General features: G+C 43.0%; 1 annotated feature.

Moving 5' to 3' along the window:
• Positions 11,370-11,869: an enhancer, noted in NCBI's record as "H3K27ac hESC enhancer chr12:128080981-128081480 (GRCh37/hg19 assembly coordinates)". NCBI's record gives its function as "activates a minimal SCP1, AML or CMV promoter by ChIP-STARR-seq in naive H9 embryonic stem cells {active_cell/tissue: H9 hESC(naive)}" and the evidence as "EXISTENCE:reporter gene assay evidence [ECO:0000049][PMID:30033119]".

The raw sequence follows: 12,176 nt of genomic DNA on the forward strand, positions 1-12,176 counted from the left end.
ATACATTTTTGTTGAATGCTAAATATTTTGAATATTATAATGTGGCAGTTCCAGAAATCAAATCCCCTTTACTCTCCAGGGTTTACTGTTTTTGGTGTTTGTTATTTTTGTTGTCCTTGTTGCCTTTTTGTTTAGTAGCTTTCCTGGACAAATTTTTAAAAGTCTGTGTCTTCTGTTTTTTGTGTCTCCTGGAGCCTCTTCTTGATTAGATTAGAAGTCAGGTAAGAAATGGGCAGAGACAGGGCATGGTGGCTCATGCCTGTAATCTCAGCACTTTGGGAGGCCAAGGTGGGTAGATCACCTGAGGCCAGGAGTACAAGACCAGCCTGGCCAACATGGCGAAACCTCATCTTTACTAAAAATACAAAAATTAGCTGGGCATGGTGGTACACACCTGTAATCCCAGCTACTTGGCAGGCTGAGGGAGGAGAATTGCTTGAACTTGCGATGCGGAGGTTGCAGTGAGCTGAGTTTCCACCACTGCACTCCAGCCTGGGCAACAGAGCAAGACTTTGTCAAAAAAAAAAAAGAAAAGAAAAAAAAAAAAGAAAAAGAAAAGAAAAGAGGCCGGGCGCAGTGGCTCATGCCTGTAATCCCAACACTTTGGGAGGCTGAGGAGGGCGGATCATGAGGTCAGGAGATCAAGGCCATCCTGGCTAACACGGTGAAACCCCGTCTCTACTAAAAAAAAAAAAAAATACAAAAAATTAGCTGGGCGTGGTAGCGGGCGCCTGTAGTCCTAGCTACTCAGGAGGCTGAGGCAGGAGAATGGCATGAACCTGGGAGGTGGAGCTTGCGAGATGGGGTTTCACTGTGCTAGCCAGGATGGTCTCCATCTCCTGACCTCGTGATCCGCCCACCTCGGCCTATGGCAATTTTATATTTTTTCCAATTAAAAACTTTTTTATTTTAGGTTCAAAGGTATTTGTACAGGTTTGTTACACAGGTAAACTAGATATCACAGGGATTTGGTATATAATTTCATCACACAGGTAATAAGCATAGTACTCAACAGGTGGTTTTTTTATCCTCACCCACCTCCCAACCTCCACCCTCAAGTCAGCCCCAGTGTCTTTTGCTTTCTTCCTTGTGTCCATATGTACTCAATGTCTGATGTCTTAACTCTCACTTATAAGTGAGAACATGTGGTATTTGGTTTCCTGTTCCTGTGTTAGTTCACTTAGGATAATGGCCTCCTGCTCCATCCATGTTCTTGCAAAGGACTTGATTTACGGCTGCATAGTATTCCATGGTGTATGTGTCCACATTTTGTGTATCCAGTCTACTGTTGATGGGCATTTAGGTTGATTCTATGTCTTTGCTATTGTGAATAGTGCTGCAATTAACATACATATGCATCTGTCCTTATGGTAGAATGATTTATACCCCTTTAAAGGCTTTGAGACAATGTGTCTCCTAGCCTTTACCCAGGTGCTCTGTGTGCTTGATGAGGTTTGCTTTGAAATTTGACAGACCGCTTGCAGCTCTCTGCCTTAGCCTTCACTTCCTGCTTGTGCAGAGCCTCACAGTCAGCGAGAGGTGAGAGACTGGCACATTCTCAGGTCATTCCTGGGATGTGCACAGTCCTACATATGCATGTGGCCTTTTATTTTCTTAGGAATATGTAGGACCCTTCCAAAGCCCCTGTGGGGATGTCATTCCCAGTCATTCCCAAGGTTTTCCTTCTCTGTTTTATGTCAGCTTCTTGTTAGCCACAACCATAGCTTTAGGCAGTTACAGTGTTATACAGTTGTTGCAGATTACTTTTGACAACTCTTGATGCAAAAAGGGCTATTGACTGGGAAAGTTCTGAACAAGTCAGTTGAAGAAAAACCTTTAGAATAGAAATTTTCCATGGAGCTGACAGATTTTCAAAGCTGCCACAGAGCCTGGGAGTGGAAGCATGGAAATGGCGCAAGCTAAGACATTCACAAAGCTCACTGTTCTTACTGAGATTCAGTAGATTTTTCTTAAATGAACACTCCTGAGATTGTCACAAGCCTTTAGTTAGTTTCCAGAGTTCTGAAAATAAATTGATTTTGACGATTGTTGGCAGTACTCTCATTGAGTTGATGGAGGGTAGAATTTTTGGAAGTCTGCCCTTCCAGGAGTGCTTCTCCATTGTTTTGATTTTTAAATGTTGCCTATTTATCAAATTAAATAATAAAACACTACCCCAGCCCACTAAGAAAAGTTTGCAAGTAAATTCTGCCTGTTGACTGATAGGTTCACCTTCCTATCAGGGTCAGTTGAAGAAAGTGTGGAAGGTAGATTCTTAGTCACAGATGTGGGTACAACTAAAACTAGTGCTAAGGACTCAATATTCTTCTGGTGACATAAGAAAAGTATATGAAATTAAGAAATAGGACTCTAACTCCCTTTGCACGTGTATCTTTCTTATCAGAAGACAGCAGCAGAGCCGTGCTAACTCGATTTTACCAACAAGTTTAGAAAACCCAGAGATGTTCAAGGTGACGTCTCCTTGGCAGTTGTCGGCAAAATTTCCTATGAATTACTGGGCATGAATTTCCTTCCCTTTGTTACCAGGAGTCAAGCATTTAAGTATAAATTGTCAATCGGTGTGGATGTTATTGCCTAATTTTGTCTTTTTTTACACCTATAATTTAAACATTTATTTTTTCTTTCTAATTGGATGTGTGGCATCTATTTCCTGTTGACTTCGCTATAGATAAAGCTTTGTTCTTAACCTTTTGCTCTACTATGTAGATTCTGATGTCAATAATAATTAGAGAGTTCTTTCTTCTTCATTTCTGTTTTGGCTCGCCCAGTCCAGAACTCACATTCTTAGTTGAAGTCCTGCAACATGGCCCCTTGCAGCTGCAAGCTTCCCTGCTTCCCCTTTCACTCGATAACATTGCCAGGGGCTTTTCTCCTTCCTCGGCCCTGCCTCACACACCAAATCTCCAACCAGCCAGAGCACGTCTCACAGAAGAGCGATGTCTTAGAGCGCTTAGGGCTGCCAATGTGTCTCAGACCTCAGACCCTATTTAAAAATTGCCCTGATTGTCTTCTTTTATAGACATATTTATTTTGTGATCCGTAAGACAAAAGACAGCCTTTATTTCTGTTTTGATGTTTAGTTCACAATTTAAACACCTGTCCTATGCAGAATTAATCAGCTTCCTATTCTTTATATTGGGCTCCTGTAAAAGTTACTGTGAGCATTAGCTGGGATCTCTTCAGTTTCATGGGCCAGAAAAGCAGCTCAAGCGAAATTAAGGGAAGTGATGGAATATTGACTCACGTCAGACTAAACATGACCCAGACTTAGGTCCAGCTGGATCTTGGTTCACAAGCAAGGCATGCAGGGTTCTGACTCCAACATTTGGCTTCGCTTTTGTCTTGATTCGAATTACTTTCAGGAAATGCCTTTCTCAATGGGGGTCAAGCAGTCCAGGCTCAGCAAGCCAAGCTTTCAGGGAACTTCTCTTTCCTAAGAGTTTCGGAATAAGCCCTGAAATTTGGCTTTGACTGGGGCAATTCGGTCCACATGCTCATGTCCAAAATAATGGCTTTGGTCAGGCGAATGGGATATGCTGGTCAGTTCTGCTTGTATAACTTGACCACTTCTGGATCCAGCCCTATACTCAAATAGCAGGCACTGGCCGTTGGAAAGTGGAGGTTATCCAAAAGAAAAGCAGAGTGCTTTTACTTCAAGAAACAGAAATTATTATTAGGCAGACAAAAAATAATGAATTTCTTCTCCATCATGACTGATCTCTTGAAACATGAGTATAGCATAGAAGAAATAGCACTGAAGTAATGATAACAGCTAATGTTTGTGCAATGGTTTCTATGTACCAGTTACTGCTCAAGAAACTCACGTGGCCTAGTTCATTGAAGGCTCAATCATTCCAAGGGAGGTAATTTTACTATCCCCCATTTTACGGACATGGAAATTGAGTGACAGTTAGCTTAGGTAACTGGGCTAAGACTTCACGGGTGATAAGTTGTGGGTCTGGAATTTGAACCTATGTATCTATTATCCTGCCCTTTATGTTTATACCCACCACTCTGTTTTGCCTTTGATATAGAGGACCAAGGATCCTCTCTTGGCTACTGACGCTGTGAACATCAGCAGATCAATTCAACTCTGAGCATCTCAGTTTCTTCCTCTTAACAAAAAGATAAATGCAGGTCATCTCCCAAGCCCTGTCATCATGTGAACCTGACACAATACCATCATTCGTCACTCAGTTAAATAGCAAATAGTAATGTTTCCAAGTGCGTCTTTAAGCCAAATGGGACACGGTACTGAGTAAGGAATTTTGAACAACTGGGAATTTGTAAAATGCAAATCGTGAAACAAATATAAAATATCATTTTATTATAATGATTTTTGCTGTTCCTGGAAATAATTCACTTGTGTCTCTGCAGGGCTAAAGAATTAAGCAAGGGAGCATTTTCCAGGTGTGCTGAGAACAGAAAGGAGAGCCCTTTCCTTTGACCACTCAAAAGGGCCATAGCTCAGCTGTGGTCAGCCCTTATTAGGCTCTTTTTACTAAACCTTATAGGCTGTTATTAGTCACAGCTATTAAGGCTGTCAAGTTCTCCCTTGTGATCTTTGCTCTAACACAAAGTGACATTCAGACATTCTGAAGTTCAGTGGCAACACTGTCTTGCATTCACTCGGCTAACACCTCTCAGCATCCTTAGTGGTGGCAGATTAAGCCTGGCTGACCTTTGAGGGCACCTGCTTTATGGAGTTTGGTTTCCCCCACTTGGTTCTGTCTCAGAAAGCTGATCTTTCCATAAAAGACTGTAAGGCATAGTGCTTGCTTCTACAAAGCAGAGAGTAAGGTGCTTTTAAAGATGTGTGCAGAAAACTAGTTTTTCTGATTGAAGTTTGCCCCCGCTGCCACCCGGCTGGCTGCCCAATTGACATTGAACAGGGCAGTGACCCTGCCCCTTGCTAAGTGTGGCTGTCAGGTATACAGATTCCTGAGATTTCGTTGGGCAGCTTTCTAGCAGGTGGCTGGAGTTTAGCCTGAGAGCCAGGCAGACACATTTGCACCCTTTCCAAGTTCCAGGAGGGCCCTGATTCCTTCTTTTCACTGCTAGCTCACCTAGAGTCCTGGAGGCTTTGTCATTTACTCCCTACTCCATTTTATACTTAAATAGATTTTGTAAACATCCAAATTCCACCCGATCACCTTATCTATTACAGCTTTCCCCAAGACTATTTCTCCTCTAGTCCTGCACACACACATGTTCATTTCACAATGGAAATAAAATGCTCCATTCCTTTTTATTTCATATTTCTGATGACACATTTTAAACAGCCTTTAGAATTGTGGTTGCGTTTGGGTAAACACCTGTGTTGACATCCACGCAGCAGAATGCAGAGTCTGGAGCCACACAGGATGAATTCAAATCCTGTTTCCACCACACTTGGTTACCTTGGCAAGTGGCTTCATATTTCCAAGACTTGGTTTCTTAGTCTTTTCAAAATAAGTAGTCTGTTCTATGGAAGGGTCCTCTGGTCTGTTTTAGGATTAATATGAGAAGAGTTGCCAGTTTCCTCAAGTTCCTTCTCATTATCCTTTCCTTACAGAAACCAGGAGAGAAGGGGATGGAGAACTCACTTGGCTGGATTTCAGGTGTCTGGCCCCTCCAGGAGCCCTTTATGTTGATTATTTCAAGACAGGTTTGAAAGACATATTTCTAGAATATGAATGATATCTCCATTTCACAGCTAGAGACTAAGGCTTGAGAATTTACATGCCCACGATCCTTCGGGGATTAAACAAGGAAAATGAGCCTGATTCACCCTTCTCCAGAATGTGTGTTAGTTGGCCATGAGCAACCATCCATAATGTATTCTATAAATTGAGGAACCAGCTGATGATGTTCAAGGATGTTTTTTAATTAGGTGGTGTATTTATGGGAGGGTCCTGTGAATCGCGACTGCATAGCAGTTTCACGGTGAGTGCTGATGGGCTGGGTGGAGGATGCTAAGGTCAATCAATGTCTAGAATGAGCTTTTGACCCTCTGGGGAAGCAACTGAAAAGCAAACACTTCTGCAGGGAACCAGATGGCCAATCAATGGCATTCATGTGGAGCAGCATCTCATTTCACTGTTGTACTGAAGGTGAGGTGTACCGCAAACAGCACAGAATGAAGCAAAAGCAAAAAAAAAAAAAAAAAAAGCCAAACTAAAAAAAGGAAAACAGGAAACATTTAGAAGGGCCTTTCTCTGCAAAGACGGGATCCCTTGAAATTGAACTTGAATCAATAGATGGCCACTCATATTCTGTATTGAACAGGAGTTCATTAAAAAAATCAGTGACCTGCACCAATCAATAAGACTTCAGGGACCAAGGTTTCTTAAACAGCGCAGAGGCAGCAAATTGCAGAAAAATAGACCTTTATTCTCCAGGAAGACAGAATTCTTCCAAGTTAAATTAATAAGCCCACAGCTACAGCCTGCATAAACCTTGAAACATTGATAGAATTGTTTCAAAAACAACAATGACAAAAACAAAAACAGGGCTAATCAGCTTTGTTGACACTTAATTTAACTTCAAAGGTATGTCTGTAACATTGACAAAAAGGGAGCCAAACCAAGAAGGAAGAAAGTGTTTTTCGCATCCATTCCAGTGAAGATAGTGTGCAAACAGAAATCAGTTCTTTTAGCATGGAAACTTCCCCTCTGTAGAATGAATGTTTTGTGAAGTTGACTTGCAGATGTAACCTGATGGATTTCCCTCACAAAGTAGAGTGTGCAGCCTTCAGCCTCAGGGCGTAGCCTTCAGACGTCTGAGATATAAATGAATTGGCTAGCATTCTTGCTATAAGGGATGAGTGAACGAATTCAGATTTTTCCAACGCTGACATTTGAGGGCTGATCATTTTTTGTTATGTGTGTGTAGGGGCTGCCTTGTGCATTTTAGGATGCTTAGCGGCGTTCCTGGCCTCTACCCACCATCAGTGGCCAACACTCCTCTAAGTTGTGAGGAGCAAAACTGTCTCCAGACATTGCTAAATGTCCCCTGGGGGCAAAATTGTCCCAGATGAGCACCATTGAACTCTTCCTCCAGGAAAAAGGTGGGAAGAAAAGGAATAGATTGGATCTCATAAGCTAATAGATAGAAGTCAGTAGTCTTCTGGATGACAGGAACCAGAGCTGAAACTGAGACTCACACTTTCTTTTTTTTTTTCTTGTTTCTATATGTAAGTTATTACTTCTCCAGACAAACTTCTCTGGAAGGTTGCCATAAGTAGCTTCAAGCTCATATCTATGCAATTCTATAAACAGGGAGAAAAATAATCTTCTCCACTAAGGTCAGAACCGAAACTCCCGAGAAAGAGCCGTCTTGGGTCAAAAGTCTACTGCAAGGCAGGCTGGAGCTGTTTGTGTTGGGAGGTACATGCTAGGTGCGTCCAATTGCCTCACATCTTGGTCTTTTTGAAGCGGCACTGTTGTCTGGGGTAAATACTTGAGGTTTGTTAGTCTCATGCCAAGGAAATGGAGTGCATGGACACACAAGAAGTGGGTTTAGGAGAGGAGGTTTAATAGGCAAAAGAAGAAGAAAGGAGAATAGCTCTCTCCCCTGAGAGAGAGGGGGATGCCCGAGTGGGACTTCCAGCCTGCTCTAGTGCACAGGGTTTTATAGACAGGCTTGAGGAGGCAGTGTCTGATTTATACAGGGCCCAAAGATTGGTTGGACCAGGTGTGACGTTTACATAGCATGTGAAGAAGCTGGCCTCCCCACCCTAATCTTTTATTATGCAAATGCATTTTTTAACCGGGCCAGAGCTGTGTTGTCTGCTCCTTACTGTGCAACTGGCTGATAAGGCAAAGGGAAGATGGAGCCTCCATGTTGGACATGCCTGGCCCCAGGTGGCCTCTTCCTGTTGGCACAGCTGCAGGTACTCACCCGTGCAACTTTCCAGCTTGCTTGTCTGTGTCTGCAGATTGATTTTACAGGCTGCTCTTTGTTAGAAAAGAAAATTATTTGGGGCTGCTTTTCATTAAAAGGGAAACCTTACTAGGGACTTCCATACCTTATCTGCCTAAGTAATTGCTTTTTAACTCCTGTGTCATTTTGAGCAGGGTTTCCAGCTAAGGAGAAAGGGAAAAAGGGTTTGTCATTCATTCACCTGTCAATCACACACTTTGTGCCATTCACTGTGCTGAGTGTTGATGCTATAAAGATGAATAACTCACTGTTAAGCTTTTGAAAGGTTTACAGAGTAGTTTATGAAACGCACAGGTAAGAATGGGACAGTGTGCTACATCAGCTCAGCAGCAGGTGACAGTAAACTTGATTTTGGTGATTGGTGAAATGATGGAGAAGGATCCCAAAAGGCAAACAGGAGCTGAGAGGGAACAGAGGGCTCTGATTAGGAAGACAATGAGAAATCAGGAAGTCTCACAATTGAAAAAGTCTTGGCTATTTAAAAACCACCTGAGGCCGTGCGTGGAGGCACTTTGGGAGGTTGAGGTGGACAGATCAGCTGAGGTCAGGGGTTCAAGACCAGCCTGGCCAATATGGCGAAACCTCATCTCTACTAAAAATACAAAAATTAACCGGGCATGGTGACCCACACCTGTAATCCCAGCTACTCAGGCGGCTGAGGCAGGAGAATCATTTGAATCTGGGAGGTGGAGGTTGCAGTGAGCTGAGATCGTGCCACTGCACTCTAGCCTGGGCAGCAGAGCAAGACTCCATCTCAAAAATAAAAAAATAGAAACAAAAACCGCCTGATGCATTTGGGAAACTGGGGTGATAGTGATTTTCTTGAAGCACAGTTTGTTGGGAAAGCGTATTAGGAAATGAGATTGGAGAAGGAGCACAGACTGCAAGGGAAGAGCTCATGAACAAAGGAGTTTGGAGTCGACTCCCAGGTCAGAGAAGAGACAGTGGACAATGTTCATTGGGTGAGAATTTTGGAAAATTGGCTGTGAAATCATGAAATTTAGGAAACAATGTAGGAGTTAGACAGGAGGGGGGTAAAAGTATGTCTAAAGTTTTCTTCCAGGGATCAAAATAATTCACTGATGTCCTTAAGGAGAGACCAATAAGAAACGTGGGTGATGTCAATAAAAAGAGTTAAACTCTGTAAAATATTTGAAGGAATTTATTCTGAGCCAAACATGAGTGACCATGGCCTGTGACAGCCCTCAGGAGGTCCGGAACACATGTGCCCAGGGTGGTTGAGGTGCAGCTTGGATTTATACATTTTAGGGAGACATGAGACACCAATCAAATACATTTGAGATGTACATTGGTTTGGTCTAAAAAGGGTGGGCTAACTTGAATGGGGAGGGAACTTCCAGCTTATAGGAAGATTTAAATATTTTCTGGTTGACAATTGGTTGAGTTTATCTCAAGGCCTGGGATCAACAGAAAGGAATGTCTGGATTAAGATAAAGGACTGTGGAGACCCAAGTTCTTATTTGCAGAGGAAGCCTTCAGGTAGCAGGTTTTAGAGAGAATAGGTTGTAAAATGTTTCTTATCAGACTTAGTCTGTGTTGATGTTAATGCCGAAGAGGTACAATGAGGCCTGTCCGTCCCCCACTTCTCATCATGGCCCAAACTAGTCTCTCAGGTTACATTTTAAAAGAGCCCTGGCTGAGGAGGAAGTCCATTCAGATGGTTGAGGGGGGAGGGGTGGGGTGGAGCTTAGAATTCTGTTTTTGGTTTACAGTGACAATTTTGTTGAAATGTTAAAGGCCCAGAGTAGCAGGAGACACAGCTGCGTCCAGAGGCCCTCTCTGCTTTGCACCCTGACTGTCTGGAAGGCCCTGGAGAATGCAGACCCTGCCCGCTGCTCTGGCCCTCCCCTCCTGGCCACCCTGCACCCCATTGTCTTCTTTAGTTTCCTTCAGAGCAAGCTCTTGCAACCTGCGGCTCTTGGCCGGCATGTGGCAGAGGACAGCTTTGAATGCAGCCCAACACAAATTCCTACAGTTTCTTAAAATATTATGAGTTTTTTTTTTAGCTCATCAGCTATCATTAGTGTATTTTATGTGTGGCCCAAGACAATCATTCTTCCAGTGTGGCCCAGGGAAGCCAAAAGATTGGACACCCCTAATTTAGAGGATTTACCTATAGCTGGGCCTTTCCTTTGACTTGTTTGCTTTGTTATTTTCTGTCTCCCACAGTTGAATGCAATCTCTGGGAGTTTCCACATCTCTCTTGTCCACGTCTTCACTCATATCATCTAGCACCACATCAGGCGGCTACAGGGTGTTCGACAAATAGCCCTTGCGCTCATTCATTCATCTCTTCAATTGTTCATTTTTTAATCACATCTGTATTCAGTCCTATATTCAATGAAGCTTTTAATGAATGCCCACTCTAGTCAGTGCTTTAGACAGAGCATGCTTAGTTGACATGTGGGTATTAGAAATAAAACATTGTCTAAATTGAAAAATATAAGCTGGAAGATATTTCCATTCATGATTTTGTCTCCACGTTTAGATTCTGCAAAGAATCCCTGATGCATAGGGCATCATCCCCGATGGAGAATTCTTCCTTTGGACAGACAACCCAAATAAAGTTCTCTTTGAAATGTTTGTGGATGGGTAGAGAACTCTGGATTGCAGCAGCTGGTACTTGATGTAGAAATTTGTTCCCAAAATCACTGCTGTCGAGAGTGTAGAAATGAGAACACTCAAGACAGCTGGTGGGTGGGAAAGTACAATGGTGTAGCTGCCTTGGAAAACAGTTTGACTGTTCCTCAAAATGTCAAATGTAGTTCTCATATGGTCCAGTAATTCTACTCCTAGGTTTGCACCTAAGAGAAATAAAAATAGATGTCCACACACAAATTTGTACGTGAATGTTAATAGCAGTTTTATTCATAATATCTAAAAAGGAGAGACAACCCAAGTGTTCATCTACTGAGGAGTGGACAAAAAAGATGTGCTGTAGCCATAGGATGGAATATGATTCAGCCGTGAAGAAGAACAAAGTACTGGTAGATGCAACAACATAGGTAAACCTTGAAAACAGGATGCCGAGGGCAAGAAGCCAGCCAAAGATCAATATAAAATGATTCCATTTATATAAAATGTCAGAATAGAAAAGGCTGATAGCATGAAACTAGTTAAAATAAGAAAGCCAGCTGGGCACAGTGGCTCACGCCTGTAATCCCAACACTTTGGGAGGCTGAGGCGGGCAGATCACTTGAAGTCAGGAGTTCGAGACCAGCCTGGCCAACATGGTGAAACCCTGTCTCTACTAAAAATACAAAACTTAGCTGGGCATGGTGGCAGGTGCCTGTAATCCTAGCTACTCGGGAGGCTGAAGCAGGAGAATTGCTTGAACCCGGGAGGCAGAGGTTGCAGTAAGCCGAAATTGCACCACTGCACTCCAGCACAGGAGACAGAGCAAGACTCGGTCTAAAAAACAGAAAAGAGGCCGGGCGTGGGGTTACAGGTGGCTCACACCTGTAATCCCAGCACTTTGGGAGGCCAAGGTGGGTGGTTCACAAGTTCAGGAGTTCGAGACCAGCCTGGCCAACCTGGTGAAACCCCATCTCTACTAAAAATACAAAAAAAAAAAAAAAATTAGCCAGGCTTAGTGGCGTGCGCCTGTAATCCCAGCTACTCAGGAGGCTGAGGCAGGAGCATCGCTTGAACCTGGGAGGCGGAAGTTGCAGTGAGCCAAGATTGTGCCACTGTACTCCAGCCTAGGGGACAGGATAAGACTCTGTCTCAAAAAAAAAAAAAAAAAAAAAAAGAACCATTAGATTTTAGAACATTAAATCAGTAATTTATAGATGATACGTCAACACGGCAAAAGTTTTGGGTATGATACATAAAATGCAAAATGCCTGAAGTTTGGGATGCACCAAGATAGGGTTTAGGAAATTACATTAAGTATGTCAAATTATCTCAATGTTTGTTGTTTCCATTTGCTTAAATTTTGATGATTATTGTGACATGCGAGAGATACTAGGAAGAAAGCAGGTGTGACTTCAGCACCAGGCAGCAAGCAGATGGCCACAGTCTAATTCTGGGACCCCTGCAAAGGTGGTGACTCTGTCCATGCTGTATGAGCAGATTGGCACAGAGAGTCCCCAAGCATCGACATCTAAACCAAAACGCCTTGACTCCAGTTTCTGAGGAAACCTCTACCTTTATGTTTTCTGTGGGCTATTCTGGGCCTGTGGATGGTAACCGCATCCCCTCATTGTGCA

Source organism: Homo sapiens, chromosome 12, assembly GCF_000001405.40.
Source record: "Homo sapiens chromosome 12, GRCh38.p14 Primary Assembly".
Lineage (NCBI taxonomy): Eukaryota > Metazoa > Chordata > Mammalia > Primates > Hominidae > Homo > Homo sapiens.